This window comes from Homo sapiens, chromosome 5 (assembly GCF_000001405.40).
Source record: "Homo sapiens chromosome 5, GRCh38.p14 Primary Assembly".
Taxonomy (NCBI): Eukaryota; Metazoa; Chordata; class Mammalia; order Primates; family Hominidae; genus Homo; species Homo sapiens.
In genome coordinates this window covers 172,417,339-172,443,942 of record NC_000005.10, presented here as the reverse complement: position 1 = coordinate 172,443,942, position 26,604 = coordinate 172,417,339, and the positions used below count along the sequence as shown (strand labels likewise).

At 49.4% G+C, this 26,604-nt stretch overlaps 1 protein-coding gene across 3 annotated transcripts in view, besides 5 other annotated features; it reads left to right on the top strand.

Moving 5' to 3' along the window:
• The window catches only part of SH3PXD2B (SH3 and PX domains 2B), a 129,345-nt gene that overhangs the window by 10,583 nt on the left and 92,158 nt on the right, over positions 1–26,604 (top strand). For all 3 annotated transcript variants that reach the window (NM_001308175.2, NM_001017995.3, XM_017009351.2), the window contains exon 2: positions 21,447–21,527. In NM_001308175.2, coding sequence (NP_001295104.1) covers positions 21,447–21,527 — 81 coding nt within the window. The remainder of the gene's footprint in view (positions 1–21,446; positions 21,528–26,604) is intronic.
• Positions 11,343–11,600: a silencer, noted in NCBI's record as "fragment chr5:171859347-171859604 (GRCh37/hg19 assembly coordinates)". NCBI's record gives its function as "represses an EF-1alpha promoter that drives an FKBP-Casp9 reporter gene in an ReSE screen in phorbol 12-myristate 13-acetate-treated (for megakaryocytic differentiation) K562 erythroleukemia cells {active_cell/tissue: K562(+PMA)}" and the evidence as "EXISTENCE:reporter gene assay evidence [ECO:0000049][PMID:32094911]".
• Positions 12,190–12,690: an enhancer, noted in NCBI's record as "H3K4me1 hESC enhancer chr5:171858257-171858757 (GRCh37/hg19 assembly coordinates)". NCBI's record gives its function as "activates a minimal SCP1, AML or CMV promoter by ChIP-STARR-seq in primed H9 embryonic stem cells {active_cell/tissue: H9 hESC(primed)}" and the evidence as "EXISTENCE:reporter gene assay evidence [ECO:0000049][PMID:30033119]".
• Positions 23,024–23,318: an enhancer, noted in NCBI's record as "tiled region #10478; HepG2 Activating DNase matched - State 5:Enh, and K562 Activating DNase unmatched - State 21:Repr". NCBI's record gives its function as "activates a minimal TATA promoter and a strong SV40 promoter by Sharpr-MPRA in HepG2 cells, with weaker activation in K562 cells {active_cell/tissue: HepG2 | K562}" and the evidence as "EXISTENCE:reporter gene assay evidence [ECO:0000049][PMID:27701403]".
• Positions 23,154–23,203: a silencer, noted in NCBI's record as "silent region_16622". NCBI's record gives its function as "represses an Ori minimal core promoter by ATAC-STARR-seq in GM12878 lymphoblastoid cells {active_cell/tissue: GM12878}" and the evidence as "EXISTENCE:reporter gene assay evidence [ECO:0000049][PMID:35858748]".
• Positions 24,965–25,941: an enhancer, noted in NCBI's record as "H3K27ac-H3K4me1 hESC enhancer chr5:171845006-171845982 (GRCh37/hg19 assembly coordinates)". NCBI's record gives its function as "activates a minimal SCP1, AML or CMV promoter by ChIP-STARR-seq in naive H9 embryonic stem cells {active_cell/tissue: H9 hESC(naive)}" and the evidence as "EXISTENCE:reporter gene assay evidence [ECO:0000049][PMID:30033119]".

Here is a 26,604-nt window from a genome sequence, read left to right as displayed (position 1 = left end):
TGCCAGGATCACTTTTGGCTCCCCTGCCTATCACTGACTGGTAATAAGGGGATAGTCACTTTCCCAGCCCCGACCTCCGTCCTGAATGGAAAAGTTGCCTTCAAGCACATAAGCATGGTATTTTCTGTTTTGTTTAATTAAGCAGAATTGCATGGCCCCCCGCCCGCTGTGCTGGCAAAGAAAGCTAGAACCCACGCGTTGGCGTCACCATTTCCTCCTCCTCAGCCAAGGTGTGAATCAGCAGCCTGTGGCTTCAGGCCACTGTTGGCTTCCAGTCAGTTCCACAGATGTGGGTTTATTGTCTGCCCTGGGCCAGGTCTGGCCCAGAGCCAGAGAGAGGCTAAGATGACCAAGCACAGTCTTGTCCTCACAGAGGTCACCATCTGTTCAGAATGCATCTCCATAGGATAAGGGCTGCGACAGGGCCTGGAGTACCCGTTCCTGCTGGGACAGAGAGGTGCACTGTCAGCTGGGTTCAAAAGCAAAGGGGTGTTCAGGGGCTGGGAAAGCTGACTAGCAGTGGGGTTCTTTACATGGGTGGAATTCAGAGGGCCCTTGAACGTAGAAGGGGAAGAATTAAATCTTAATTTTCACTAACCTCCGACTGAAATTTAGCATTGCCTTCTGTGATGAATGAAGGCAGCAACTCGCGGTGATAGTAGTAATACATGTGACTTTGTCACAAATAGCGATTCCCTTATTTTCATCTTACTTGACAGTCGTTGCGTGGATGCCTGGAGAGCATCTATACTCCTTACTATTTCCAAGTTACGGTGTCATTAGACCCACCACGAGGTTCTGTTATTTGTGGTTTTAATAAAAACGTACATATAGTCATAATTTTGTTTTTTGAAACATTTTGATAACTATAATTCAGTATCATTAGTTTCATTTGGGATCTATGTGTTTTACTCATTTTAAATCATTCTGAGAAGGGGTCCGTGGGTTTCCTCAGATGCCAAAGAGATTCATGGCTCCAAAAAAAGATGAAAGACCCCTCTGGGTGGAAGAGGTGGAACTTGGGAGCCAGATGGCATGGGCTGGACCTGGCTCTGCCATGTGTGATCTTGAGTCAGTGACTGAACCTCTCCGTGCTTCAGTTTCCTCTTCTACAGAATGAGGCTAACAAGAGTATCCACTGTGGATTATTCATGTAGAGGGTTTAGAGCCCTTCCTGGCATGTAGAAGTGCTGAATAAATTACCTGTTATTATTATCTTTACCATCATCATCATCATCATTTATCTGACTAGTGATGTGCATTTTGAGTAAGCAACCTCAAATGATGTGACACGGGCCATCTGGAATGACCACATATTAAGAAACAGACTCTAATTAAGGATGTACTCCTTAAAATTTGTAGCTGTTTTCTCCCAAAGATTTATATATTTGGATATTCAGCAGTATGGTAATTTAAACAATGTTCAAAGTAGCCTAAATGTTTATCACTGGAGGCATGATTAAATAAATGATATATATAGCCTTACAATGAACTATAAAGGCATCTTTAAAAGTGGTTTGTCCAAAGGATGTTTGATGAAGTGGAGAAATGACCGCCATCTCATGCAAATGAAAAAAACCAAATCATATATATAGTGTGATCATAATTTTGAAAAATATTTCTATGCATAGGAAAAGGGTCTGAGAAGAAGCATGCCCAAAGCATCATCTCTGATGGTGGAAACATGGACAGTTTTTAAGACCTCTGACCGTGCAGTCAGCCTGTTTGATTCCTAGGTTGAACAAGTTACCCAACCTCCTTGGGCCTTACCTTTCTCCACTGCAGAACGGAAATGATAGGGTAGTGTGACCTCATAGGATTGCTAAGATAGAGCACATTAAGCACATTCTAGACTCTTAAATGTTGTTAGTGATTACGGTAAATTGTCTACATTTTATTTACTACCCAAGTTTTCTCTACAGGAGAGAGGACAGTGTAGGATGGCAAAGAAGTCCACATAGGGCTCACATAGGGACAGGGGCAGGGATTAGTCTCTGGCAGATTAGGAGCCCAACAAGGGAGGGGTCCAGGAGTGGCCAAGGGTACCCACAGAATCTGGCCTTCAGAAACCACATGTGATTTCATGGAGGAATCCCTTCTCCTCCCCTATGACACCCCTAAAAGGTGGCTGTCCCCAGGGTCTGAGAGCATACTCCCTTTACATTCCTATCTAGTTCTCTTCTCCTTGTCCTGACCCCAAGCTCAGCGGGAAGGGAGGATGAGGCTGGATTCGGTTGGGGCATTGTCAAGAAGGTATCCTAGACCAGCCTAGTTGGCCTGTTTCTCGGCAACCCTTCCGTTACCTCACCAGGGTACCCAGCTTTGACGTTGAGGCCCCAGTGGACCAATCCTATCATGACACGTACACATTGAGTTCATCATCGTCTAGGGTGTGAACCCCCCATTTTGTCTTCAGGGCCTGGCCTAGAATAAATGCCCAGCCCAAGTGTGTTTCTTGAACAAAGCCATTAACTGCTTGTACCCTCGCAGTCCCAAGGTCCCATGATTCTAAGGCAACGGCCACTGACGTCCTTGGTGCTGAGACACAATCACATGTGATAACGCCCTGCTGGCCCCAGGCCGAGCAGTCAGTGTGTCATCGTGTTTAAGCTGCAGGCTTTGGAGGCAGCCAGGCCCGAGTACAAACCCTGGCTTTGTCACTTTCCAGTTATATGATTTGGGCCACGTTACTTAACCTCTCAGAACCTCGGTATCTTCTTCGTCTCTAAATGAGGGGGAAGGAGGGTCATTGCTGTGCCTGATACTGAAGTGAAGAGTACTAACTCTTAGTCTAGTTTAGTGGACACAAATGAGATCCTCTAGCCCCTGGGATGCTGTTAGGTTGAACCATATGAAATTGTCAATATTTAACCTATAAAAATGGCAATTTCACTTGGTTCATCGTAATGTTTTAGGATTGATTTGGGCCTGTGGAGCTCACTCTTGCTTACGTGGAAGGGGGTTATAAGCCACCACTGTACCAGGGGTGTTACAGGCACAATCCCATTTATACTTCACAGCAGCCCCCAAGAGACAGGTTCTTAGCACCCCCCTTTTACAGATGGGAAAACTGAGCCTCCTAACTAGCTTCTCTAGGACCCCCACTTAAGTCTTGTAGTTGGGATTGAACCCAGGTCTGTCCAGTTCAGAGTCTGTCGCTTCCACCATTGCTGTCTTGAGACTTGGTTTCCTTTTGCGTGTGGCATGGCCTTGCCTCGCAGCTGGAAGAGCCCTGGACATTCTCTAGGACGCCTCGGCCCGGGACCTGGTGGCTCCCTACTGAGATTCCCCATGATGCAGCCAGTCAGAGCCCCAGTTTCCAGCCCTAAGTGGGAGCTCGGGTTTGAACTGTCTTGACTTCTGCAGTTTTCTGCTCTGACATTTTTGGCTTTGGTTGTGGGGCTGAAAGGTGAGAGGATGACATGTGTCAATTCTCCTTCTGCACTTTGGGGATGTTCTTCCTGAGCTCTCCTGCCCGCTCGTTAAATGCAAGTCCCGACACCTAGACTCCTGATCCAGGCACAGCATCCCCAGGTCTCACCCTTGCCCACAGCCCCATCGAGGCAGGGCCAAAATGGCTGCTGGAGGCAGGAGGTCAGACCTGGGGGATGCAGGGTGGAGTGGCAGAAACCCAGGCGGGTGATTGTGTAGGAGGACGTGCAGGATTGCTACTTTGCCATCTCGACCGCGTGCTCCTTGAAGACAGCTTTGATGCTACTGCCTTGCGCGTAGTGGGTGCTCTTGTTGGCGGCTCCATTCACTCTGGACAGCTCTGTCAACACGAGAGAGGCCCTCACTTGAAATCTTTCACCCAGGTCTGTTTCCTTCATTGCCCAGGCTCCTCTGAGGCCTGGCAGCCTTGGAGATCTCAACAAGCCCTAAGTGCTTGCCCTGGAGACTTTCCTAGAAAGCCAGCCTTCAGGTTGGTTCCGGCTGAGCCTGGGCTCCAGCTGCCAGCACCTCTGCTTGCCATTGGAAAGTTCCCCACGCCGCCTCGGGCCAGATGTGTGTGAGTAGCAGTGCGTGAGCTGGCAGCCAGAGGCCTGGGCTGGAGCTGCACGCCTGGAGCAGCGAGTGTTTCCACCAGCCCAGTGTCTCAGTCGTCGGCAAGAGTGGAGATGCCTGGCCTGGCCAACCCTGGAAATAGTTCCTGCTGCCCATGCCGCTGGATAAGATTCCATGAGTTAGGGGAGCCCAGAGGGTGGGCAGCTGTGTGTGTGTGTGTGTGTGTGTGTGTGTGTGTGTGTGTGCGCGCGCGTGCGCGCACGCACGCACACACATACCTGGTTTTTACAGCTTGACATTCCCGACTTTTCCTCTTAACATATCTCACTTTGCAAGATTTGAGTTGGCCCAAGGAAGATGGCTACTCGGTTGGGGCCTCCAGTGTCTAATCTCCATAATGGGTTATTAGTGATGGCCCTGGAAGCTGTCTGTGACCAGATGGTGTGCCAAGCACCTGACATGCATTAGCGCCTTTAGCCCTCAGCCAACCCTATAAAGTAGGTACTGTTCTCTCCATTTTCCAGGTGTGAAGAAATGGAAACTCAGAGCTGTGAGGTGATTTGCAAAGTCACAGCAGCATCAGGCTATAGAGGCAGGATTCATAGTCAGGTATTCTAAAGCCGATGCCTGTGGTTTTTTTTTGGGGTTTTTTTTTTGTTTTGTTTTTGTTTTTGTTTTTTTTTTTTCTTTTTTTTTTTTCTGTTTTTTCTGTTTCTGTGGCCCAGGCTGGAGTGCAGTGGCGTGATCTTGCCTCACTGCAGCCTCCACCTCCAGGGTTCAAGTGATTCTCCCACCTTAGCCTCCTGAGTAGCTGGGACTACAGGTGCGCACCACCACAGGCCGGCTAATTTTTGTATTTTTAGTAGAGACGGGGTTTCACCACATTGGTCAGGCTGGTCTCGAACTCCCGACCTCAGGTGATCTGCCCGCCTTGGCCTCCCAAAGTGCTGGGATTACAGGCATGAACCACCACACCCTGCCATCTTTTTTTTTTTTTTAATGACATTAAAGCATGATTGTTATTTTTAATTTTTTACTTTACGTGGATGCTGTAAAATTCCCTTTTGTGGTGTAACGCAGTAAAATTTTGTTTTTTGGTGTAGCATGTTATGATGTGCAGGTTCCTGTAACCTCCACTACAGAACAGTTCCAACACCTCAAAGAATTCCCTCAGCTTTACTGTCTCTGACATACAGTGGGATGAGGCATTCCCCCTGGAGTTTAAATCACTCCTGGGTATTCTGTTTTTTGCCATTACCTCTTCAGAGAAACTCTGGGGTGGAACGTGGACTTCCCTTTTTGGGTTGGGTCCCATGCCTGCATTCCCTCTGTGACAAAGCCAGCTCTGTTTCTGGTACCCTTGGCAATAGAGCTGTTCATTCAGCTATTTCACGAGCATTGTTACTCTCTGGACACAGAGAGCCTTGAGTGAGGTCACCTTGGTTTTTGACTGTGTGGCCCTGTTTCGGCTTTTTGTCTCTTTTACCGGGCATTTCCTGAGAGCTCATTGTCGCCAGGCACTGGGGGGACCATGGTGAATAGACAAACCCGGCCCTGCCCCAAGGGCCCCCAGGGCAGTGGGGGTGCAGTAATGCAAAGAGACCAGCACCCCTAGAGGAACAGGTTCTGAGAGAGGGTGGCCCTAGCCCTGTGGGAACTCAGAGAGTGGGAGCTAGACTGAGACTTGGGGTGTCCAGGAAGGCTTCCAAGGAGAGGTGACTTCTAGGCTGATGCTGGAGAAATGAAGAGGAGCTGAGCAGGGCAGGGAGAGGAAATGTTCCCGCCAGAGGCAGTGGCAGGCATTGAGTCCTGGAGGCAAGAGAAAGCCAGCCAGGCTGGAGCAGAGGAGGGGCAGACTGCACAGGCCCCTAAGCCCCACGTTGTGCCTGTGTGGTGTGTTTTCTTTCTCGATTGAGGCCCTTCGAGCAGAGCTTGGTGCACAGTAGGTCTCTGTGTATATGCCAAATGAATGAATGAATGAGCTGAAGAGTTTGAGGCAGGGGGAGAGAGATCAGATTCCCACTTTGGAGGCTACTCCTCTCCCCCTACTCCTGCCGCCATTTCCCCATTTGGCACACCTCTGCACACAGGGATAAGCGGAGCCCTCAGCTCAACCAGCCACCTGAGCCTTCGCTGCGTGCCCTGTGGACAGAGTGCAGTAGGAACACAGCCCTAAGTGTCTCATCTGACGCAAGACACCACAAGCACTTGTATTTTGGCCCTAATCCAAGCATTCACTTAATTGAAAAAATTGGGGGAAAAAAATATTGGCAGCCTGCCACCTCCAGTGTGTCACTTGCTGCAGAGCCTGAGCTTGGTGATTCCTGGCGCTGACGTGGGGACCGGAAAGCTCTGGCCTGGGGCCAGGAGACCCAAGGCCTTGGGATGCTGGGAGAAGAAAGTGAAGAGGCTTTGGAGGCTGGCAGGGCTGGGATTGGATCTCATGTCACCCACTTCCCAGCCTCTCGACCTCAGGCGCAGCATGGCTCTGTGCCTCGGTTTCCTCCTCTCCCCCTTCAGCACTTCTGGTGGTGATGCTGCCCTGGGGTGTTGGGAAATCAAACAAACTTTGGGTGCTGCAGTTCCAAAAAGAGGTTGGAGGTGCTGACCTATATAGGCCAGATGTTGGACACAAAGCTGGGGACAGTCAACAGATCAGAACCAAAGGGAACCCAGGGTCTCCACGAAGCGTGGCAGAGTCGGGTTTCCCATTAGTCAAGCCCGTGGAGCTCCATCCGACCGCCCTGCCCTCTCCTCGCTCTCCATCTCTCCCTTGCCCTTGTTGCTTTCCCTTCCCCAGCACCCACGAGGACCATACTTATCCACCTTGGGCCTGTGTGACCAAGACAGCATATTCCCAGAGCAAGCCATCTGCAACCCAGCCAGTCACTAACTCCCAAGCTCTTCCCAGGATCTGCCACCTGGGAACCCAGCCAGTGTGGGAGCTTGATGGAGGGAATCCAACCCCCTTCTTAACAGCTAGCTGCCTTCTGAAACTGGGGTCTGTGGATTCCTAGGGACCTTCGGACATAGTCCTGAACCCTTCTCTACAGGAAATGAATTCACCTGGATCTTGAAGCCAGCACTACTCCTCGAGCCCAGAGCTGCATGTGCTTTGGCATTTAAGCTTGCTCTGGCTGTAGAGCAGGACGGCTTTAGCAATCACAGCCTGATGACCCGCTGCAGAAGCTGTGTAGCCTGTGAGCGGAAGCCCTAGCCCCTCCGTGCACTGCATGAGAGACAGCATATTTGCTCCCTTCATCTCCACAGGCTTCTACTGTTTCGTAGGTATGAGAAACAGCAGTCTGGAGCAGAGGGCCCGCATTCTCAGCACCTCCCGATGGTAGCCCTGGCTTCTGGTTCCAGCTTTCCTCCCTGCTGGCTACAGGACCTTGGGCAAGTCCCTTTCCCCTCTGGCCTCATGTCCCTAACTATAGAACAAAGGATAGTCTAGAAGAGGGTTTTCAAATGTTTTAAAGGCCTGGAACCCTTTGTTGTCTGCCTGAAGCAGGCAGAATAGGGCTGTGGCCGGTGAAGGAGCCCGGGCCCTGTATAGAGGCAGTTCTGGTGATGATTTGGCTGCAGGCTGCTGGGTTATACCCTGTAGCATACACAGAAGAGCCAAAAGTGGCACTGCGCTATGGAAACTGGGGTGGATGGCCCAAAAGCCCACCCACGGGGCCTCTCCAGGATCCTGGGGCTTCTTGGAGGCCAGTTTCACTGCTGGCCTGAGTCACTTCTAAGAGCCCTCCAGATTAAAGCTCTCTGGGCAAGTCTCTTATGTAAGAGGCCCATAGGGGCACAAGGAACCTGCAAGGAAATTCAGACACTGTCATGGAAGCAGAAAGAGTCCACAGCTGAGAGTGTAACCCTAAGCAAGTCACTGCACCTCTTGGCCAGCACCTCCCTATCTTCATTTGTAAAATGGAGGGATTGATCTAGACCAGGGATGCCAAGTAGGTAGCGCCCATCTCACTAGCCCTCAGCCCCTGCCCCTGGCAGACATTGCTAATGGACCACAGGGTTCTGTCTTGCGGATGCTGCTTTCTCACAGCCCCTGCAAGGAAACAGCCCCGGCCCCATTTGTGCCTTCTCTTGAGATGTTGTCTTCAGTCACCCAATTTGTTCCTGGCTATCCACCAGGCTTGCAGAGCCAGGAGAGGGCTCTGACTTCAGAAAGGTTATAGCTGTTGATCTATAAAAAAACAAAACTTGGCTGTGCGTGATGGCTCGCACCTATAATTCCAGCACTTTGGGAGGCCGAGGCAGGTAGATCGCTTGAGGCCAGGAGTTCCAGACCATGCTGGTCAGCATACTGAGATCCCATCTCTACAAAAAAATTTGTTTATTAGCCAGGCATGGTGGTGCATGCCTGTAATTCCACCTACTCAGGAGGCTGAGGCTGGAGAATTGTTTGAGCCTGGGAATTCGAGGCTGCTGTGATTACACCACTGTACTCCAACCTGGATGACAGAGGGAGCAAGACCCTGTCTCAAACAAACAAACAAACAAATACCTCCAGATACAGTGAGAATGGCAAGGAATTCCACTAACACAGGACCATCCTCATTCTCAATCTTACCAGCACCATCATAATTTTTGACATATCCACAAACTCCCTACAGTATATATTCCTAATACAGTATTCTTCAAATTGACTCACATTTTTACTTAAATTACTTTTAAATGGAAATTTTAGCTGTCTACTATACCTGGGGAAAACCAGTAGTAGCACTTGCTAAAAATAGAAGGAAATGAAATTCAAAAGAAAGAGAAAAATCAATGTGTTAAGTTCTTCCTGGCTAGTGTCGCCTGTTCTGAGGTCTTCTGTGCCTTCTTTAAGAAAGGAGACCTGCTGTGTGTGGTGGCTCACGTCTGTAATCCCAGCACTTTGGGAAGCCAAGGAGGGTGGATTGCCTGAGCTCAGAAGTTTGAGACCAGCCTGAGCAACATGGCGAAACCCCATCTCTACCAAAAATACAAAAAATTAGCTGGGCATGGTGGTGCATGCCTGTAATCCCAGCTACTTGGGAGACTGAGGCATGAGAATCACTTGAACCTGGGAGGTGGAGGTTGCAATGAGCCGAGATCGTGCCACTGCACTCCATCCTGGGCAAGAGAACGAGACTCTGTCTGAAAAAAAAAAAAAAAAAAACCATTGGCCATTGCATCCCAGGACCAAAATGTAATAACTTTGTCATGGGACCAGTGCGGCAGCCCCAGCCCTTGTAATTAATGCCAGCCAGGAATTTCAGCTGGATTCTTTGACAACCCTAAAAACCCCACCAAATAGATTTGTAAAGGAAAGTAAGACTGGAGGACATTCCCCCATGCCTCAGAGATTTTACTAGCAGGGCAAAAACTTTTTACCTTGTTTTCCAGTTCACATGGTGAACACTTGGGAGCTCACAGAGCTCCGGAGGCAGGGGAAGCAGGGCGGCAGCTGTTTCACATCATCCGACCCTGGGGACAGCGTATCGATGGAGTTCTGGGGCCTTTCTAAGAGCTACAGCCCCTTGCAGAGATCTGGGCCAGTGGGTCGGCAAGGATGAGGATGTCAGCTAACCCAGGGGTGCCGGGGGCTTGCAGAGGTATCTTGGCCTGTTTATAGCCTGGCCCTGTTGTTTGTCAAGAGCCTCTAAGCTTGATACTGGCTTAAATCTTTTTATATTTTATTGATACATAATATTTGTCCATTTTCATGGGACATTTATGATATTTTGTTGCATGCATAGAGGGTGTAATGATCAAGTCAGGGCATTTGGGGTATCCGTCCCCTCAAATATTTGTCATTTCTATGTGTTGAGAGCATTTCAAGTCCTCTCTTCTAGCCATTTTGAAATACACAATACACTGTTGTTAACTATAGTTAGTCTACTCTGCTATTGATTGTTAGCACTTTATTCATGGAAGAGCTGACCCCTTGGCTGTTACTGCTTGGAAATGGTGCCCAAATTCTTGCATGCTTAATGGGGGCCCTCTGGACACTGGGAGTCCCCATCCCCTTAGACTGGAGTTAGACCCCGCGAGGAGGTGAAGGGTTGGGCAACATTCAGTGAACATTTGCCCTCAAGTCCCACCATGAGCAGAGATTCCAACCAACCAACATGGATTCCTTTCTAGAGATCTCTCCATTTCTGGAGAGCTTAGCTTGCAAGGTAGGATGGACCTTATCTCTATTTTTCAGATAACAGAGAGGCTGTAAGAGGTCAAGGACTTAACCTCACTCCCATAGTAAGTTCCGGGTTGGGGCCCATCTGCTGGCTTCCCGGCCGGTGAGCCAGTGTTCTCCCACCCCCACTCTGGGCATCCCTGTGCCATCGGCTGGGCTGGCACCCGGCAGGGGCTCCTTGGTGGCCCTAGGACTGAGCCAGGGTAACGGAGAAGATGCTGGCCTGGGGTTCAAGACAAGAAAGTGCCCCACAGACAGGTTTCTTTCAGTGCTCCTAGAAAGCGACATCTTTTTTTCTGATTGTAAAAGAAAATAAAGTGTAAAAAATCTGGAATATACAAGCATCAAGAACAGAATTTTTAAAGTCCCCCATATTCATACCACCCCAAAGCGAACCACTGACATATATATGCTTGGTCATGTGTCATTTAACAACAGGGATAGTTCTGAGAAATGTGTTGCTAGGCAGTTTCATCACGTGAATATCACAGTGTGTACTTACACAAACCTAGATGGTATAGTCTACTACACACCTAGGCTCTGTGGTATAGCTCACGGCTCCTGGGCTACAAACCTGTACACTGTGTTACTGTACTGAATACTGTAGGCAATTGTAACACAATGGTGAGTATTTGACTAGAATATACAAATACTCACCATTGTGTTACATAGAAAAGGTTTTGTAAAAATACTGTGTTATAATCTTACGGAACCACTGTTGTATATGTGGTCTGTCATTGGAAAACGTTAGGTGGTGCGTAACTGTGTGTGTGTGTGTACAGACACACAAACGCACATACATTTAGATATGGTACAGTCAATTCTTCCCCCCCCCCCCCCTTTTTTTTTTGAGACAGACAGAGTTTCACTCTTGTTGACCAGGCTGGAGTGCAAAGCACAACCTCAGCTCACTACAATCTCCGCCTCGCAGATTCAAGTGATTCTTCTCCCTCAGCCTCCCGCGTAGCTGGAATTACAGGCATGCACCACCATGCCTGGCTAATTTTTGTATTATTAGTAGAAACGGAGGTTCACCAGCCAGGCTGGTCTTGAACTCCTAACCTCAGGTGATCCATCTGCCTCGGCCTGCCAAAATGCTGGGATTACAGGCGGACCGCACCCAGCCAGTCAATCCTCATTATTCATAGATTTCATGTTTGCGAATTTGCCTACTTGCTAAAATTTATTTGTAACTCAAAAGCGATACTCGAAGCACTTTTGTGGGCATTTTCGGACATGGGCACGTGCAGAGCGGTGAAAAATTTGCGTCACCCAACGTGCACGTTCCCAGCTGAGGTTGAATGAGCGACACTCCCCCCTCATTTCAGCTCCCATACTCTTAACAAGAATCCTTGTCCTAGTCTATGAGTGCTGCATTTGTACATTTCTGTGCTTTTTGTTGATTTTGCTGTTTAGTATGGCCCACAAATGCTGTGCTAACATGCTGTCTGGTGAGCCTAAACGCAAGATGGCTGTGATGTGCCTATGGAGAAGCTTCATTCAGGCACGAGTTGCAGTGCTGTTGACTCTGAGTTCAGCGTTGATGAATTAACCATGCATATTAAATAAGGTTGTTTATTTCTTTGTTTGTTTGAGACAGAGTCTCACTCTGTTGTCCAGGCTGGAGGGCAGTAGCACAATCTCAGCTCACTACAACCTCCACCTCCCAGGTTCAAGCGATTCTCCTGCCTCAGCCTCTCCAGTAGCTGGGATTACAGGCGCCCACCCGCCTGGGTGATTTTTGTATTTTTAGTAGAGATGGGGTTTCACCATGTTGGCCAGGCTGGTCTCGAACCCCTGACCTCAGGTGATCCGCTCACCTTGGCCTCTCAAAGTGCTAGGACTACACGCGTGATCTAGGATTACGAGCCACTGCGCCCGGCCTAAATAAGGTATCTTTAAAGAGAAACACACACGCAACAAAGTTATGTATTGATCACTTGACAAAAACAAAACATAGGCTCGAAAGACCCTAACCCTGTATTTCTCCTAGAGTATTTGCTAAATCAGTGTTCTCAGTGACTTTACAGAACGTAACTACCGCAAACAATGAGCATCAGCTGTGTGTGTGTGTGCAATGGGTGTCTGTGTATATAAACACCCACACGCATTTATATACAGTTGATATCATTACAGAATTTTTTTGAGATTGAGATTACATTGTTTTAGCTTGTTCTTTTTACCTAAGATAATGCCTGAACTTTTCCCCTGTAATTCATGGAATTGTTTTAGTTGCACAAAAACCCTCATCATGCCAAAAGGAGAATTAGCTGAAAGGCCCAGGCCCCTGTTGTGCGTCATAGTAGCCTCCGGTGGGCGGGCAGGCCTGGGAAGCAGGAACTGGAATACTACCCGAAGCCAAGCCAGGCTCTCCCCGTCGCTCTTCTCCCCACACCTCTCCTTCACTTATCCTCTCTGCAGACCTAGTGTTTGGAGCACGGCTCCGGGTTGCAGCTCTTCTGGATGGAGCTGGCATGCTCAGGGCTGATCCCAGATTTCTGAGAAAGAAAGAACCTGATTGGCCGGGCTTGGATCACGTGATGGTGTCCATGAGCCAGTCAGCTGTGGCCATGGGGGTTAGGCAGAACAGGTGGTTACAGCCTGGGCGCGGTGGCTCACGCCTGTAATCCCAGCACTTTGGGAGGCCGAGGTGGGTGGGTCACCTGAGACCAGAAGTTCGAGACCAGCCTTGGGAACATGGTGAAACCCCGTCTCTATTAAAAATACAAAAATTAGCCAGGAGTGGTGATGGGCGCCTGTAATCCCAGCTACTTGGGAGGCTGAAGAATGAGAATCGCTTGAACCCGGGATGTGGAGGTTGCGTTGAGCCGAGATCGCACCACTGCACTCCAGCCTGAGTGACAGAACGAGACTCCATCTCAAAAGAAAAAAAAAAAGAAAGAAAGAACAGGTGGTTACTTCTCAAGTGGGGCGTTGGCCAGGGGTTTGGTTTTCTTTCCTGCCTTTTCAAAGTGGTCAAGTTTAAGAAAAGTGGCTTTTGGAGGCCCTGGCACAGGTTGGTCCTCAGAGGAAGAGGGTTATTCTGGCCCAGGCCACAAAACACCTAACACCATCCATGAGCAGTGTCACTCTTCCTCTCAATGTCAGCTCCTGGCAAGGTCCGGCTGACCTAGGACAGTTCTCAACCATAAGTGGAGGAGGAAAGCCAGGAAAGATGAAGCCTGGGCGCCAGTCAGGCTCTCAAGTGTGTGGCAGTTGGCATTTGGGTCAGATAATGGCTCCCTTCCATTCAGACTGAGGCCCAGGGTGGGTGGGGGTGTCAGGGCCTTCCCCACAGGCACCCATGGGGAGGGACAAAGCCCTGACTCTGGAAGCTGGGAAACCTGTGCCCCAGGCTCAGGCACAGTGGGCCTGTGTTCCCAGGACTATGGGGGCCATCCCCCTGCACCCCTGTGGGACCCAGAGAACAGAAAGGACAGGTGGAGAGGGCAGAGCCCAGGGAGATGGGTGTGGGCTGGAGAGAGGTGGGACGGGCTGTGGGAAGTTCATTTGTAGGGAGAAGGAGCAGGGACAAGGGTTCCCTCACCTTTGTGACCTTCTGCTCACAATGATGCTGCTGCTGACAGTTTCTCTTTATGGAACATTTACCATATCCAGGCACCAAGCGAAAGAATCTACATGCATGTTCTCATTTCATCCTCGCCCCAACTTTGCAGTTAGTAGTATTGCAGACCTCATTTTTTACAAATGAGGAAACTGAGTCATGGGGGTTAAGCCACTTTCCCAAGAGCACAAAGCTAGTTGAGAAGGAAGCAGGATATAAATCGAGGCCATTGTGACCCTAGAACTCCACAGCCTCGCAGAACAGTAGGATGATGTACTGGTCACTCTGACAGTTAGGAGGGTGAGCAGACATCTCCCTGCTGGCCCATGCTCCAGCTGCAGCCAAGCTGGGGCATGGCATGGCAGGATTAGAGGTGACCTAGGTTAGAGTCCCTGCTCTGCACGTCATAGCTGTGCAACTGTAGGCACTGTACTTCTGAGCCTCCGTCCTTTGCTGGGAAAACATGGGAAGTGTTAGCCTGGCCTGCTGGCTCGGGGATTTGGAAGAGACCAAGTTCAGCCATCTACCCACCTGCAAAAGGATCCTGGCTCAGCACACCCCACCCCAATTCCTCCCACCCTCCCTTCACCACCAGTTTGGCTTCTCGCTGACTTAGAGGAAGTGAGGAAACCCGGGACTTCTGTTCCTGGTGAAACTGGGTTTGCAATCAGGTTGGAGAGTCTGGACTTGGTTAGATCACACAGGCCCTGCTGCTGAGATTGTGTAAGAAGAGATTTAAAGGGTAGATGATTCCGGCTCAAATCCTGTCTGGGAACAGAAGAAAACCTCCGTGACTCTCTAACCCCAGTTGTGGTTTCTGTGCTTCCTTGTTCCTTAAGCAGTCCCAGCTGCTCCCCCAAAACATGTTGCTCCCAAGGGGCGGGGGTGTTTGCAGATTGTGGTGAAGCAGCACAGGGGACAGAGAGGAAAAGCAAGGGGGCAGGACCACCTCAGCAACATGGCCAGGGTCCCTTTCTACAGACCAAAGGCCTGCCAAGGAGAAGCACTCCTCTCTGTGAGGGCTTGGCCTCCTGGCATCTCATTTTCTTCCCCATTTATTCACGAAGCCTAGATTTTTCCACCCTGCCCAGTGCTGGGCATACAGCAGTCCATTAACAAGACAGGCCAGGTCCTTGCTCGCGTGAAACTTAGAACCCAGCAGGAAATCAGACACTTGAGCAATTTCAGTAAAGCGTTCATTGGCTTTGTGATGGGAAAGTGGGTGCTAAGGAGTCCTATAGCAGGGGCACCCAACCTCATACTGGTGGGCAGGGAGCGGTCACAGAGGGCTTTCTGGAGGCAGTAGCATCTGAGCTGTGCCCTGCTAGTTGACTTGTAGAACATTGCCCATTCCAGATCTGTCTGCTTCCTTATGATGTCATTTATCTTGTTCCTCTGCCTCCTATATTTGTTGTAAATTAGAACCTAGGTCAAGAGCTCGAGCTCAAGTTAAACATTGTTGGCAACAATACCAACAGCAGATTGTGTATACTTCACATTGCATCACCTGGAGGGCCACACAGTAACTGGATTGTCCCTCTATCCATGAGGCTAGGTTTGGTAACCTGGTTAAGTTGTAGAGTTACACATTTTTCCCCTGGCTGGGAAAGCAATCATGGGGTTATACTTTGATACCGTGTGAGTGTCCTGTTCAACAGCCTTTCACCTGGTGGTTCAGCACCCACTGAGGATCTTCCCAGAGTGGCTGTGGCATTTTGCTTCCCCACCAGCAATGCATGAGGGTTCCAGTTGCCGTGCATTTTCATCAGCACTTGTTATTGTCGCTATTTTTTAATCGTAGCCATTCCGACAGATGGGTAGTGGCATCTCCTCCTGGTTTCACTTTGCCTCGTTAGTGGCAGTGACCATATTTCATGTGCTTCCTTGCCCTCCATATGTCCTCTTGCATGAAGTGTCTCTTTAAGTTTTGTCCATCTTGTAATCTGGTTGGTTGTTTCCTTACAACCAAGACTTCAAGAAATGTATTCTGCATAGAAGTTGTTTCTCAGATGTGCAGCTCATGTTTTGAAGGCTGTGCCATGGAGAAAGTTTTAGTCATTTCCAGGGCACATGACATGCAGTATGTAAATCTCTGCAGGAAATCTGCTTTAAAAAATTTTTCTTTGGCCAGGTGCGGTGGCTCATGCCTGTAATCCCAGCACTTTGGGAGGCCGAGGTGGGTGGATCACGAGGTCAGGAGTTCAAGACCAGCCTGGCCAAGATAGTGAAACCCCGTCTCTACTAAAAATACAAAAAATTAGCCGAGCATGGTGGCAGGCGCCTGTAATCCCAGCTGCTTGGGAGGCTGAGGCAGAGAATTGCTTGAACCCGGGAGGCAGAGGTTGCGGTGAGCCGAGATCACCCCACTGCACTCCAGCCTGGGTGATAGGGCAAGACTCCATCTCAAAAAAAAAAAAAAAATCGTGGTAACACACACAACATAAAACTTAACATTTCAGCCATTTCTTAGCAACCATCACCACCATCCATCGCCAGAACTTTTTTCATCTCCCTAGACTGAAACTCTGCACCCATTAAACAACAACTCCCAGCCAGGCATGGTGGCTCACGGCTGTAATCCCAATACTTTGAGATACTGAGGTGGGAAGATCACTCGAGCCAGGAGTTCGATAACAGCCTAGGCAACAAAGCAAGACCCTGTCTCTACAAAAAATAATAATAATAAAATTAACCAGGCATAATGGCACATGCCTGTAGTCCCAGCTACTTCGGAGGCTGAGGTGGGAGGATTGCTTGAGTCCAGGAATTTGAAGTTGCAGTGAGCTATGATCACACCACCATACTCCACCCTGGGTGACAGAGCGAGACCTCATCTCAGAAGAATGAAAAATAACCACTCCCCATTCTACCCATTCTGGCAACCACCATCCTCCTTTCTATGTCTATAAATTTGACTACTCCAGGTACCTCCTGTAATCATACAGTATTTGTTCTATTGTGACCGGCTTATTTCACATAGCCTAATATCCTCAAGGTTCATTCATAGGGTAGCATGTGTCGGAATTTTCTCTTTTTAGAGCTGAATGATGTCCCATTTTATGTCTAAACCACATTTTCTTTATGCACGCATCCATCAATGGACACTTGGGTTGTTTCCATCTTTGGCCTCTTGTGAATACTGCCACTGTGAGGAAGTCTTTAATTCCTTGGCACCAAGCTACTAAGTATTACCTGGGTTGGGGATGTAAAAAAGGAAAGGTCTACTGTGTTAGGATTGCACTGGTTGCAAGTAACAGACACCAAATCAAACTGGTGTGAACAAGAAAAGGACTGTTTTGTCTTGCATCTGGGAAATGTCCCGGATTCAGGCTGGATCCAGGGGTTCAAATGTTGCCACGGGGTCTGAGCCCTCCTCTCTCCCTCTGGCTCTGCTTTCTTCTGTGTGACAGGCGCTTTCCATGGGAAATTCCTGGTGTAGGTTCTCCCAGCAGCCACTGAGTGGGCAAAATGGTCTGTCCCCTGAGACTGCCATCAAAAGTCCTGGAATTGGTTCTCATCCGTCTTGTGCCCATCCCTGAGCCATCATTCATCAGCAGGGCTGTGGTTGGCTGGGCCTGGGAGGGAGACATGCCCACTCCCCTCATGAAGACCAGAGGAAGGATTCCCCGTGGGAAGTCAGGATTCTGTTACCAAAAGGAGGGGAGGGGAAGGTACTAGACAAGCAGGAACATGGGATGACCACTGTGAGGGAAGCTGAACGTTGCACTCCTAGTGCGTGCCAGGTGTTGGCCCCATCTCCGTTAGCTATTGTGGCTTACCCCTCAAGGGAGATTATTGTCCTTGTTTTAGAGAGAAGGGTGGGTGGCCAGAGAGGTGAATGCCTTGTGAGTTTCTCTAGCAGCAGAGCTGGCTCTGTGACCCAGGGTGTGTGCTCTCTCACCAGCCCCCAAACCCAGGACGGGGACAAAGCCCTACGCTAGGGCAGCTCTCGTTAAAAAATTAGGTCTCTGCCTAAAAATGCAGACATCACGTTGTGTTCAGGGGTTGATTCCAATAAACCAATTAGGCTTGCTGCAGAGTCCTTGCACTGTATGTTCAGAACTTTAAAAATTGTAAACAAGAGATCAAGGATGAATTGTGTAAGCAGAATTTTTTTTTCCATCTATGGGAGTGTGCTTTTTGTTGGTTTTAAGAAAAAAATCCATTCTTTGACAATTTTTCCTTGTTTTTTAATCCCTGTTGGCAGTGTCCTTGACAGTCATTCAAACCTAGCTTAAGCATCCCCAGTGGTGGGCACCTTTGGTACAGTATTTTCCCTTTCTGACCCTCAGTTTACCCATCTGGCAGGTGCAGCCCTTCAATGAGCTGCATTCTTTGGTCCGCTCCAGCTCTAACTTCCTGTCAGTGGTGCAAAAGATGCCTTACTGGTGTCCCTGCCCCTCTTCAAGCCGTTTCCACACAGCAGCTGGAGGGATACCTATGGATATTTTTAAACGTGTACCCTGGATCCTGTCGCACGCCTCCCCCACCCCTTCAAGCTCTTCAGTAGAATGAAATCCAGACGCTTCTCTGTGGCCTGCAAGCCCCTCGTCATCAGCTGCTGCCTCCTCCCCCGCTCAGCCCCTTCCTCCCGCAGCACTGTCAGCTGTCATACTCTCCTGTTCCTCACACAGGCGAGCATTTTCCTGCTGCCACATCTTCGTTCCCACTTTTCTTTTTCCCTGTACGCCCTTTCCTCAGCTCTCGACCAGCTCCTCACCCTTCAGATCTCAGTTCAAAGGTTGCCTCCTCAGATAGGCTTCCCTTCCAAGGCCCCCTTATCCAAGTAGCCAGCCCCTCCACCTACCACCCTCATGCAGACTTCGGGGTCCTGCCCAGCATGTCGGCAGGTTTGCTGGTTTATTGCCCATCTCCACTTAACAAGGGCAGGGTCTGGGTCTGCCTTGCTCCCCATAGTATCTCAACCCCTAGCAGAGGGCCTGGCATGCAGTCGGTGCTTAATAGATGTTGAAGACTGAATGAGTGAATGAATGGAAACCATTCAAAATCTCCATGCTGGAGTCTCGGTGAAGCAGGGTGGAAAGCTAAGAAACAGATTTGAAGTCTTCTTGTTAAGTAAAACATCAGGACTGTTGAGCGTTTTTTCACATCACAAAGTCGCCTTTCTGAGATGATGACTGACTCTTACCTCCTAAAGGATGCCGTGGCCCCTTCCCTGGCTCCATGAGTTACCTAGGAACGGGGAGCGCAAACAAGGAAGAAGGGTGGGCTGGATGCCCAAATCCTTGGTGTCAAAGGAGCCTGTTTTTGTGAGCAGGGATGGGGTAGGCATTGGGTGGTCTGAGAGCAAGGTGCTGAGGTTTCATGAACTTTTTCTGTCTTCCTGGCAAGGTGCTCAGAGCTTTTCCTCTTGTGCTAATCACAACTCTGTATGCTTGATGACCCCATTTTACCAGATAAGAAAGCTGAGGCTCCAGGAGTTAGGAAATTGTGTGAGTCCAGAGCTTCTTGACTCTAGAGCCCAAGCTCCCCCATTTCTGCCATGTTTTGAAATATAATCTGTGTTGGGTTTGATGAGGCCATGCCAGGTGAACTCCTTAGCGTGGCATTCAAGGTCACCTCCAACCTTGTCCTGATTTATCCTAACATTTTTCGTCTCTTCTCACCTGAAGAACCTTCTCCTATAAGTCCATGATATTCACACTGGTGTCTGGCCCCAGCCCCTGAAGTTGTTCTATCTTTTTCTGTTTGGAATGTGAATGTTCTCCTAAGAACTCATTTGAAAAGAGACTCTGGCTAAAACCACTGTGGAAACCGCTGCCAGGCACAGTGTGGCTTCACCCTGAGCTGGTCTTTGTTCTACCCTCATTCCCCTCTACCCACAGCCACTGCCTTCCTCTCCTGCTGTCTAAATCCTACATGACCATCAGTTACACTGTGGTGGCTCCAGGCTTCAGAGATCTCTCTCCTGCCCACTTCCGGTATCAACCTGGACTGGATTACGTGGGTCAGAAACCCAACTTGAACTGGCCACAAAAGTTATTCAAGACAGTGGATGTGGCCCAAGACATAATTATTGGCCCAGGAAACTGGACAGTCCAGGAATAAATTTAGCTTCAGGCAGAGCTGGATGTAAGCTTAGACTGTGTCATCGGGATGGTGGCTCCTTTCTCAGGCAGGCTCCCCCCCACCCCCAGTGAGGATGGGTAGCCCCCAGCAGCTCCACATCTTGACAGCCTGTCAACCTCAGGAGAAGAGCTTGGCTTTCTCCAGAGTTGGAGCAAAAGTCCCAGGGCGGGCCGGGCGCGGTGGCTCAAGCATGTAATCCCAACACTTTGGGAGGCCGACATAGGTGGATCACTTGAGGTCAAGAGTTCGAGACCAGCCTGAGCAACATGACAAAACCCCGTCTCTACTAAAAATACAAAAATTAGCCGGGCACGGTAGCGCTCGCCTGTAATCCTAGCTACTCGGGAGGCTAAAGCACGAGAATCTCTTGAACCCGGGAGGCAGTGAGCCGAGATTGTGTCACTGCACTCCAGCCTGGGTGACAGAGCTAGACTCCCTCTCCAAAAAGAAACCAAACCAAAAAAGTCCCAGGACAGACTCCTACTGGCTGTGATTGGCCCAGCTCAAGTCACATGTTCTCCCTTCAACCAATCACCATGAACAGAGAATGTGCGCCCCCCCCCCCAACCCCGTATCCAAGTGGGTGAGCTGAAGGTAGGGAAGGAGGATTCCAGGAGTCAGTCATCTTCACTTATGTATGCATTGTCTCTCCTTCTAACCGTCACCTCATGGAGGACAGGGACACTGCCTGTGAAACCCCAGGGCTTCTAACAGCACTGAGCGCCTTGTGTTTCTATGACATTTCTTTGTTTCCAAACAGCTTTCACTTGTGCATATATTTTAATTGTCACAACTACCCTATAGCAACAGATAGTTTATGCAGTCCAGGAATGGGTCACAGGTATGCTGATCCCTTAGCCCTTAGGTGTCTACCTGGTGTGTCCGGGGCCACCAAAGGCCCCAGCCAGGCACCTCTGACCTCTAATAGTCACCTCAGTTTGCCCGGGCTTGTTATCAATGTATTGTTTTCTGTGCGTGCCGTGACGTGTGACACAGGTTGGAAGCACAGCCCACTGGTTTATAAAATGGTCCTTCATCCTTAATTTCATCAGCACCTCACATCTATCCTGGGAGGCAGAGGAGGCAGAGGAGGCAGAGGAAGCAGGTGCTGTTAGCCCCATTCACAGGAGAAACTGGGACTCGGGGAAAAAATAACTTGGCCTAGGTCCTCGTCGGTGGAGACAGCATGATGGGCTGGCCTGTGGAAGATATAAGATGGCCAAGAGCTGCACGTCTCCGTGACTTCTCCTGATGAAAGTCAAGGTTTTAGGAATGACTGGCAAGATAGCCAGCCTGTCTCTCACTGAACTGAGCGGGTAGTGAGGAATCCTGGCAATGCCGAAAACAGCAGCTTCTCCTGAGCTGATGTGGTGCCACTGCATCCCCATACTTGATGTCATTCATCCTTTGCACAACTCTGTTGGGGGTTATTACACTCATTTTATTGAGGAGGGAGATGAGTCTTACAGCAAGCAACTTGTCCAGCCAGTCATTGGCAGAGCTAAGGCTGAAACCCACGTCTTTCTGACTCTGAGTCTTGTGCTCCCCCTGGGTCCCAGAGATTGGGAGACCACCTTCTGGTGTTAACACCCATCTCCTCTGTTGCTCCCGCAGGTCTACATCATCCGGGTCACGTGGTCCAGCGGCTCCACCGAGGCCATTTACCGGCGCTACAGCAAGTTTTTTGACCTCCAGGTAAGGATTTGAGGTCTCTGGTGAGCTGCAGGATCGGAAAGAGTTTAATTGGACTTACATTCCACTACAGCTTTAGAGTCCAGAATTTTTTTAATTTCCCAGACTTAAAAATGACATCCATGGCTGGGCGTGGTGGCTCACACCTGTAATCCCAGCACTTTGGGAGGCGGAGGTGGGTGGATCACTCGAGGTTAGAAGTTTGAGACCAGCCCGGCCAACATGGTGAAACCCCGTCTCTACGAAAAATACAAACATTAGCCAGGTGCGGTGACGGGTGCCTGTAATCCCAGCTACTCGGAAGGCTGAGGCAGGAGAATTGCTTGAACCCGGGAGGCAGAGGTTGCAGTGAGCCGAGATCGTGCCATTGCACTCCAGCCTGGGCAACAAGAGCAAAACTCCATCTCAAAAAAAAAAAATGACATCCATTACTTTTGAGACACAAATAATGTGCTTTGTTGCTTTATGCTTTGATATTTCATATTTCCTCCATAAGAGAAAGGGTGCCTGTTAACTGCTCCAGAATGGAGGGTAATCTGGAAATCATTTCCAAATGGCTTTGGCATGCAGTGTTTGAACTTAAGTTTTAAACAATAATCGTGTTTGCTGGTGAGCTGGGTTTGTTGAGTGTGTCTAGACTTTTGGGGCCATTCAGCTCTGAAGACAGACCTGCATCTCCTGCCTCACCTTGGCCTCTCTCCACAGGCCTTTGCCCTCCCCACACACTCCTGTGCCTTCCCGGCTCACTCATGGCTCCAGTAACCCCTTCTGCCCTTCAGGACTCTCATCCCCTAGGAAACCTTGCCTTTGTTCCCTGGCCAGCGAGGGCCACCCATTCTGTGCCCCTACAGCTCTGTGTGTCTCTCTGTATTGAAGCTGTCTGCTTGTCTGTCTCCCTGCCTAGACTGTGACTATTGTGGGCCAGAACCACATCTTTCTCTTCCTGTCTGTCCTTAATAGTTTATTCAAGGCCTAACACACAGTATATGTCCAGTCAGTGTTTGGTGAATGAATGAATGAATGAACGAACACCATGTATACTACCAGTCTTATAGGGAGCCAGGCAGAATGTGAACAGCTCGGTATAAGCACATCCCCATTAGGGTAAAACAAGTCTAACCAGTGGGTTAGTAGTTTCTTCTTGATGTCACTAATGGCGTGTAACAGCAAGTGTGGGAGGTAGTCATGGTTCCTCCTCATAGGATGTAACAGAGTTATTTGGAAAACCCTCGGGAGACATTGGGAACTTGCCCGGCTTTCTGAACATGTGTCTTCTCCCAGCCTCCTGGTAAGGGGCTATGTCACCTCTCAGGCCAACACAAGTCTCCATCCTGACGTGACAGTCTTCTTTTCAGTCAGAATGCTTCTGTTGCGAGTGACAGAAACCCAACTGAAGCTGGCTGAAGTAAACAGGAGGTTTTTTCGCGGATGTAACTGAACGTCCTAGGAGAATATATCTCCCAGGCTTCAGGCACATCTTAATCCAGGGTTTTTTTGGTGTCACCTGATCTGGCTTCTTCCTCTCATTCCAATCCCTCCTTCCATGGTGCTGGCTTTATCCTCGGATCCCACATGATTGCACAATGATACAACAGCTCTGGGCTCACACCCAGCAGGAAAGGGTAAAAGTCACTTGTCAGAAATCCCAGCAAACACATTATTGTGTGTCATAGGCTCAACTCGACGCCAATCAATATGAGTGAGAAATGTCGCAGCCAATGGGCTTGCCGGGGTCCCTGCTCCACCCAAGAAGTCAATAAGGGTGGAGACTGACACCTGAAGGAGGTAGTTTCACAAACTGCCGCGAACAGAGGTGAAGTCAACATTTCCTGGCCGTCAGAAGACTGCCTCTGTCCTTTGTACATCATCCTGTCTTTTTGCCACACAGTTTCTCTCAGAAGGTTGGCATCCTTCATTATTCTGACCTAATCTGCTCCTGACAGTGCTGAATAGAGAATTTTCAGAGCTTGTGTTTCATTATTTTGTAGGGGGAGGGGAAATAATGTGTTCCTAACTGGTTTCCCGAAACGCCTACATAACAAACTGCCAAGAGTCATTGCATAATATAAAGCAAGTGAGACACCAGTTACCTAATTATTTAAAATGTAATGAATTCATTAGTGATGTTTTGTGTTCAGTATGCAATAATATCAAACAGTATCATAAACAAATTATATTTTTGCTTCTGCTCTGCAGCAAACAGAATGTAAATAAACAAAGCAGCTATAAGTTAAAGATGCTAAGATACCATCTAAAGTGAACTTGACAGGAGCGAACACTGGGGCAGGGGAAGAAAGATCTAAACCCTGGGGAAGAGGAAGGGAGGATCACAGTGGGGATGCCCAGCATCTTTCGATGCCATGGGCAGGAGGCACAGTCCTGGCTGAGAATGAATGAGATACAAATGGAGGACCCTCCACATTCTTTACCCAGATCTGTGGTGATTTATGCTGATTCACTATAGCAGGTCTTCAAAGAGTGAGTGTTAGGTAAACATGTTTGCAAGTTGCTAGACTGACTTTTTGTGCAGTGAGGGTCTAGATAGGGAGGGCTACCTGTATTTTGCTTTCAGAGGCCTCTTGCCTGCCTGACACCTCCAAGGAGCAGAAGAGGAGGTACAGAACAATAACACCTGATTGTTATCCCAGGAATTATTTACATCCACCGAGCAAAGCCCACTCAGCTAGCTTGGGCACGAAGAGAGGGGTGGGGTTGGATATATTGTTCCCTGAAACCCAGAGCAGAAAATGCAGCCAGCCTCGCAGGGGCCAGGAACCAGCTGGCAGCTCCCGGGCCATCTGTCCTTGTAGCCTCAGGATCTCCCATGGAGCCTGTTCTGGACCACTTCCTGCAGTTGCCCACTGGCCCACATCCCCCAAGAGCAACCCCCAGTGAGCACCTTCCACCTGGAGCTGCAGTGTCCTTCCCTGTTGTCAAAGCACTAGAGTTTCTGGATGCTGATTCCAGTCTCCAGAAGGGAGAATCTGATTGTCCTAAGGGCCCTGGATCATAGTTCACTGCTGAGCCTGTCAGCTGTTGCCGAGGAGGTGGGGACGTAGAGTCATCTGGAAGAGATTTAATGAGAAGCGGAGTGGGAAGGGGGCCCTGGAAGTGCTTATGCAAATGTTGTTCATTGCTGACATGTCGAGGCACGCGTCCAGGCCCTGTGCAAGGTGGACTGGGTTCTCTGAGTTCCCTGTTCCAGCGCAGCCTAAGGCTTAAGACCTTGGCTTTCAGTCAGACAGACCTGGGTGCAAATCTCAGCTTTGCCTGTTCAGGGCTCAGCTTGGGGTCACCGCTGTATGTTTCTGAGCCTCAGCCTCCTCATCTGCATAGTAGGAATGAAAGTGCCTTCCTCGTGCATTTATTGTGCTGGTTAAGCGGACGCACCTGGCTCAGTAAGCGCGTTAGCTGTCAGCCGTCCCTCTGCACAGGTGTGACTTGCCCAAGCTGATACCCTTTGGGAATGCTTGAGCCAGGGTTTGATCACGGGTCTTCCTGTCCCAAGGCCAGTGTTCCTTCCACTCTCCTGTTCCGACTCAACTTTCTTATTTCTACCAGAACTTAAGGTTTTCCTCCATGCTCAGCATAATCGGTAATAACTGGGGGGTTGCCGTGACAGGCTTCCCTCCTGTAACAAAGTTGTCTAAGGCAGGACTTCATCCAGGCTCAGAGTCCCAGATGGACGGCTGGAGTGGGAAAGTCATGGAATTCCAGAGGGTCCTGCTTATCCTGGAAGCATCGTGGAACCGGCCGCCTCCTCCCCCACACACACCCCAGCAGGGAAAGCTGGAAGAGGTTAGGGCAGGATCGCACCAGCCCTTGCGGGCCTGCAACACCCTGGAGTTAGATGATTTCATGATTCCACCCTCCCCTCCCTCTTGTCTGGCAAGCAGCCCTGGTATTTTCAGAAGTAACTTGGCCCAAACAGCGTGGGGAGAGCCGAGCCTTGGTGGAGGAGCAGCAAGGCCAGTGTGGCGTAATGGAAAAAGCAGAGGACTCAGTCAGGAGACCTGGGGCCCAGCCACCCTCCAGCTGTGTGGCCTTGGGCACACCCCTTAACCCCTCTGTGCCTGAGAGCCCTCATTGGTGACATGGGGTGAAAACAATAGAAACAGCTGGCATTTCTGGAACACTGAATGTGGGCCCCCATCCTGCTAAACATCTAGATGTAGTGACTCATTCAGTCCTTCAGACAAGCTTATCCAATTACGCAAATGAAGAAACCCAGGCTCAGAGAGGTTAAGTGGTTCGCCCGAAGTCACACAGCTAGTGAGCCTCAGAGCTCAGATTGGAAGCTGGCAGGCGACCCCAGTATCCACACTTTTAGCTGCTCTGCTTTTCTGGGGCTCCTCTCTCTAGTGGCTGCTTCACAAGGTTCTCGTGAGTTAAAACTTATCTGTGTCCAAAAGAGGCAGATTCATAGACAGAAAGCAGGTTCGTGGCTGCCAGAGGCTAGGGGAAAACGGGAAGATACTGCTAATGGGTACTGGGTACCTTTTCGGGGTGATGAAGATGTTCTAGAATGATTTAGTGGTCATGGAGGCATAACCTTATGGATATACTGGAAGCCACTACATTGAACACTCTAAAAGGGTGACTTTTATGGTATGTGAAGTATATCTCAGTGTAAAAGGGATGGTGAGTGCCAGAGCAGTTTCTAGGCTGTCGAGCACCAAGCAAATGTCAGCTATTAGGATTATTGATGGGCATGGGTGCTGCTAGGAATTGGCGTAAAGATTAGAGGAGATGATGCCAGTTAATAGAGTGGTGAAGATCCTGGGCTTTGGGATTAGACAGGGCTGGGCTTTGATCCAAATTCTGCCACTTGCTGGCCATGAGATCTTGTTTTCATCAGAACTCTTTTAGGTACAAATGACAGAAGCCCAGTCAAGATGGATTATTCAAACAGAGCATTGATTAGCTGAGTGTAACTGAGAAGTCTAAGGAAATTGGCTTCAGGTGTGGCTGGATCTAGGCACCACACATCAATGAGGACTTGGCTTTCTTCACTTCTTAGCTTTCTTTGTGTCCAGGCCAGTTGATGTCCAGCTGGTGGCAGCCACAGCCCCAGGCTGCA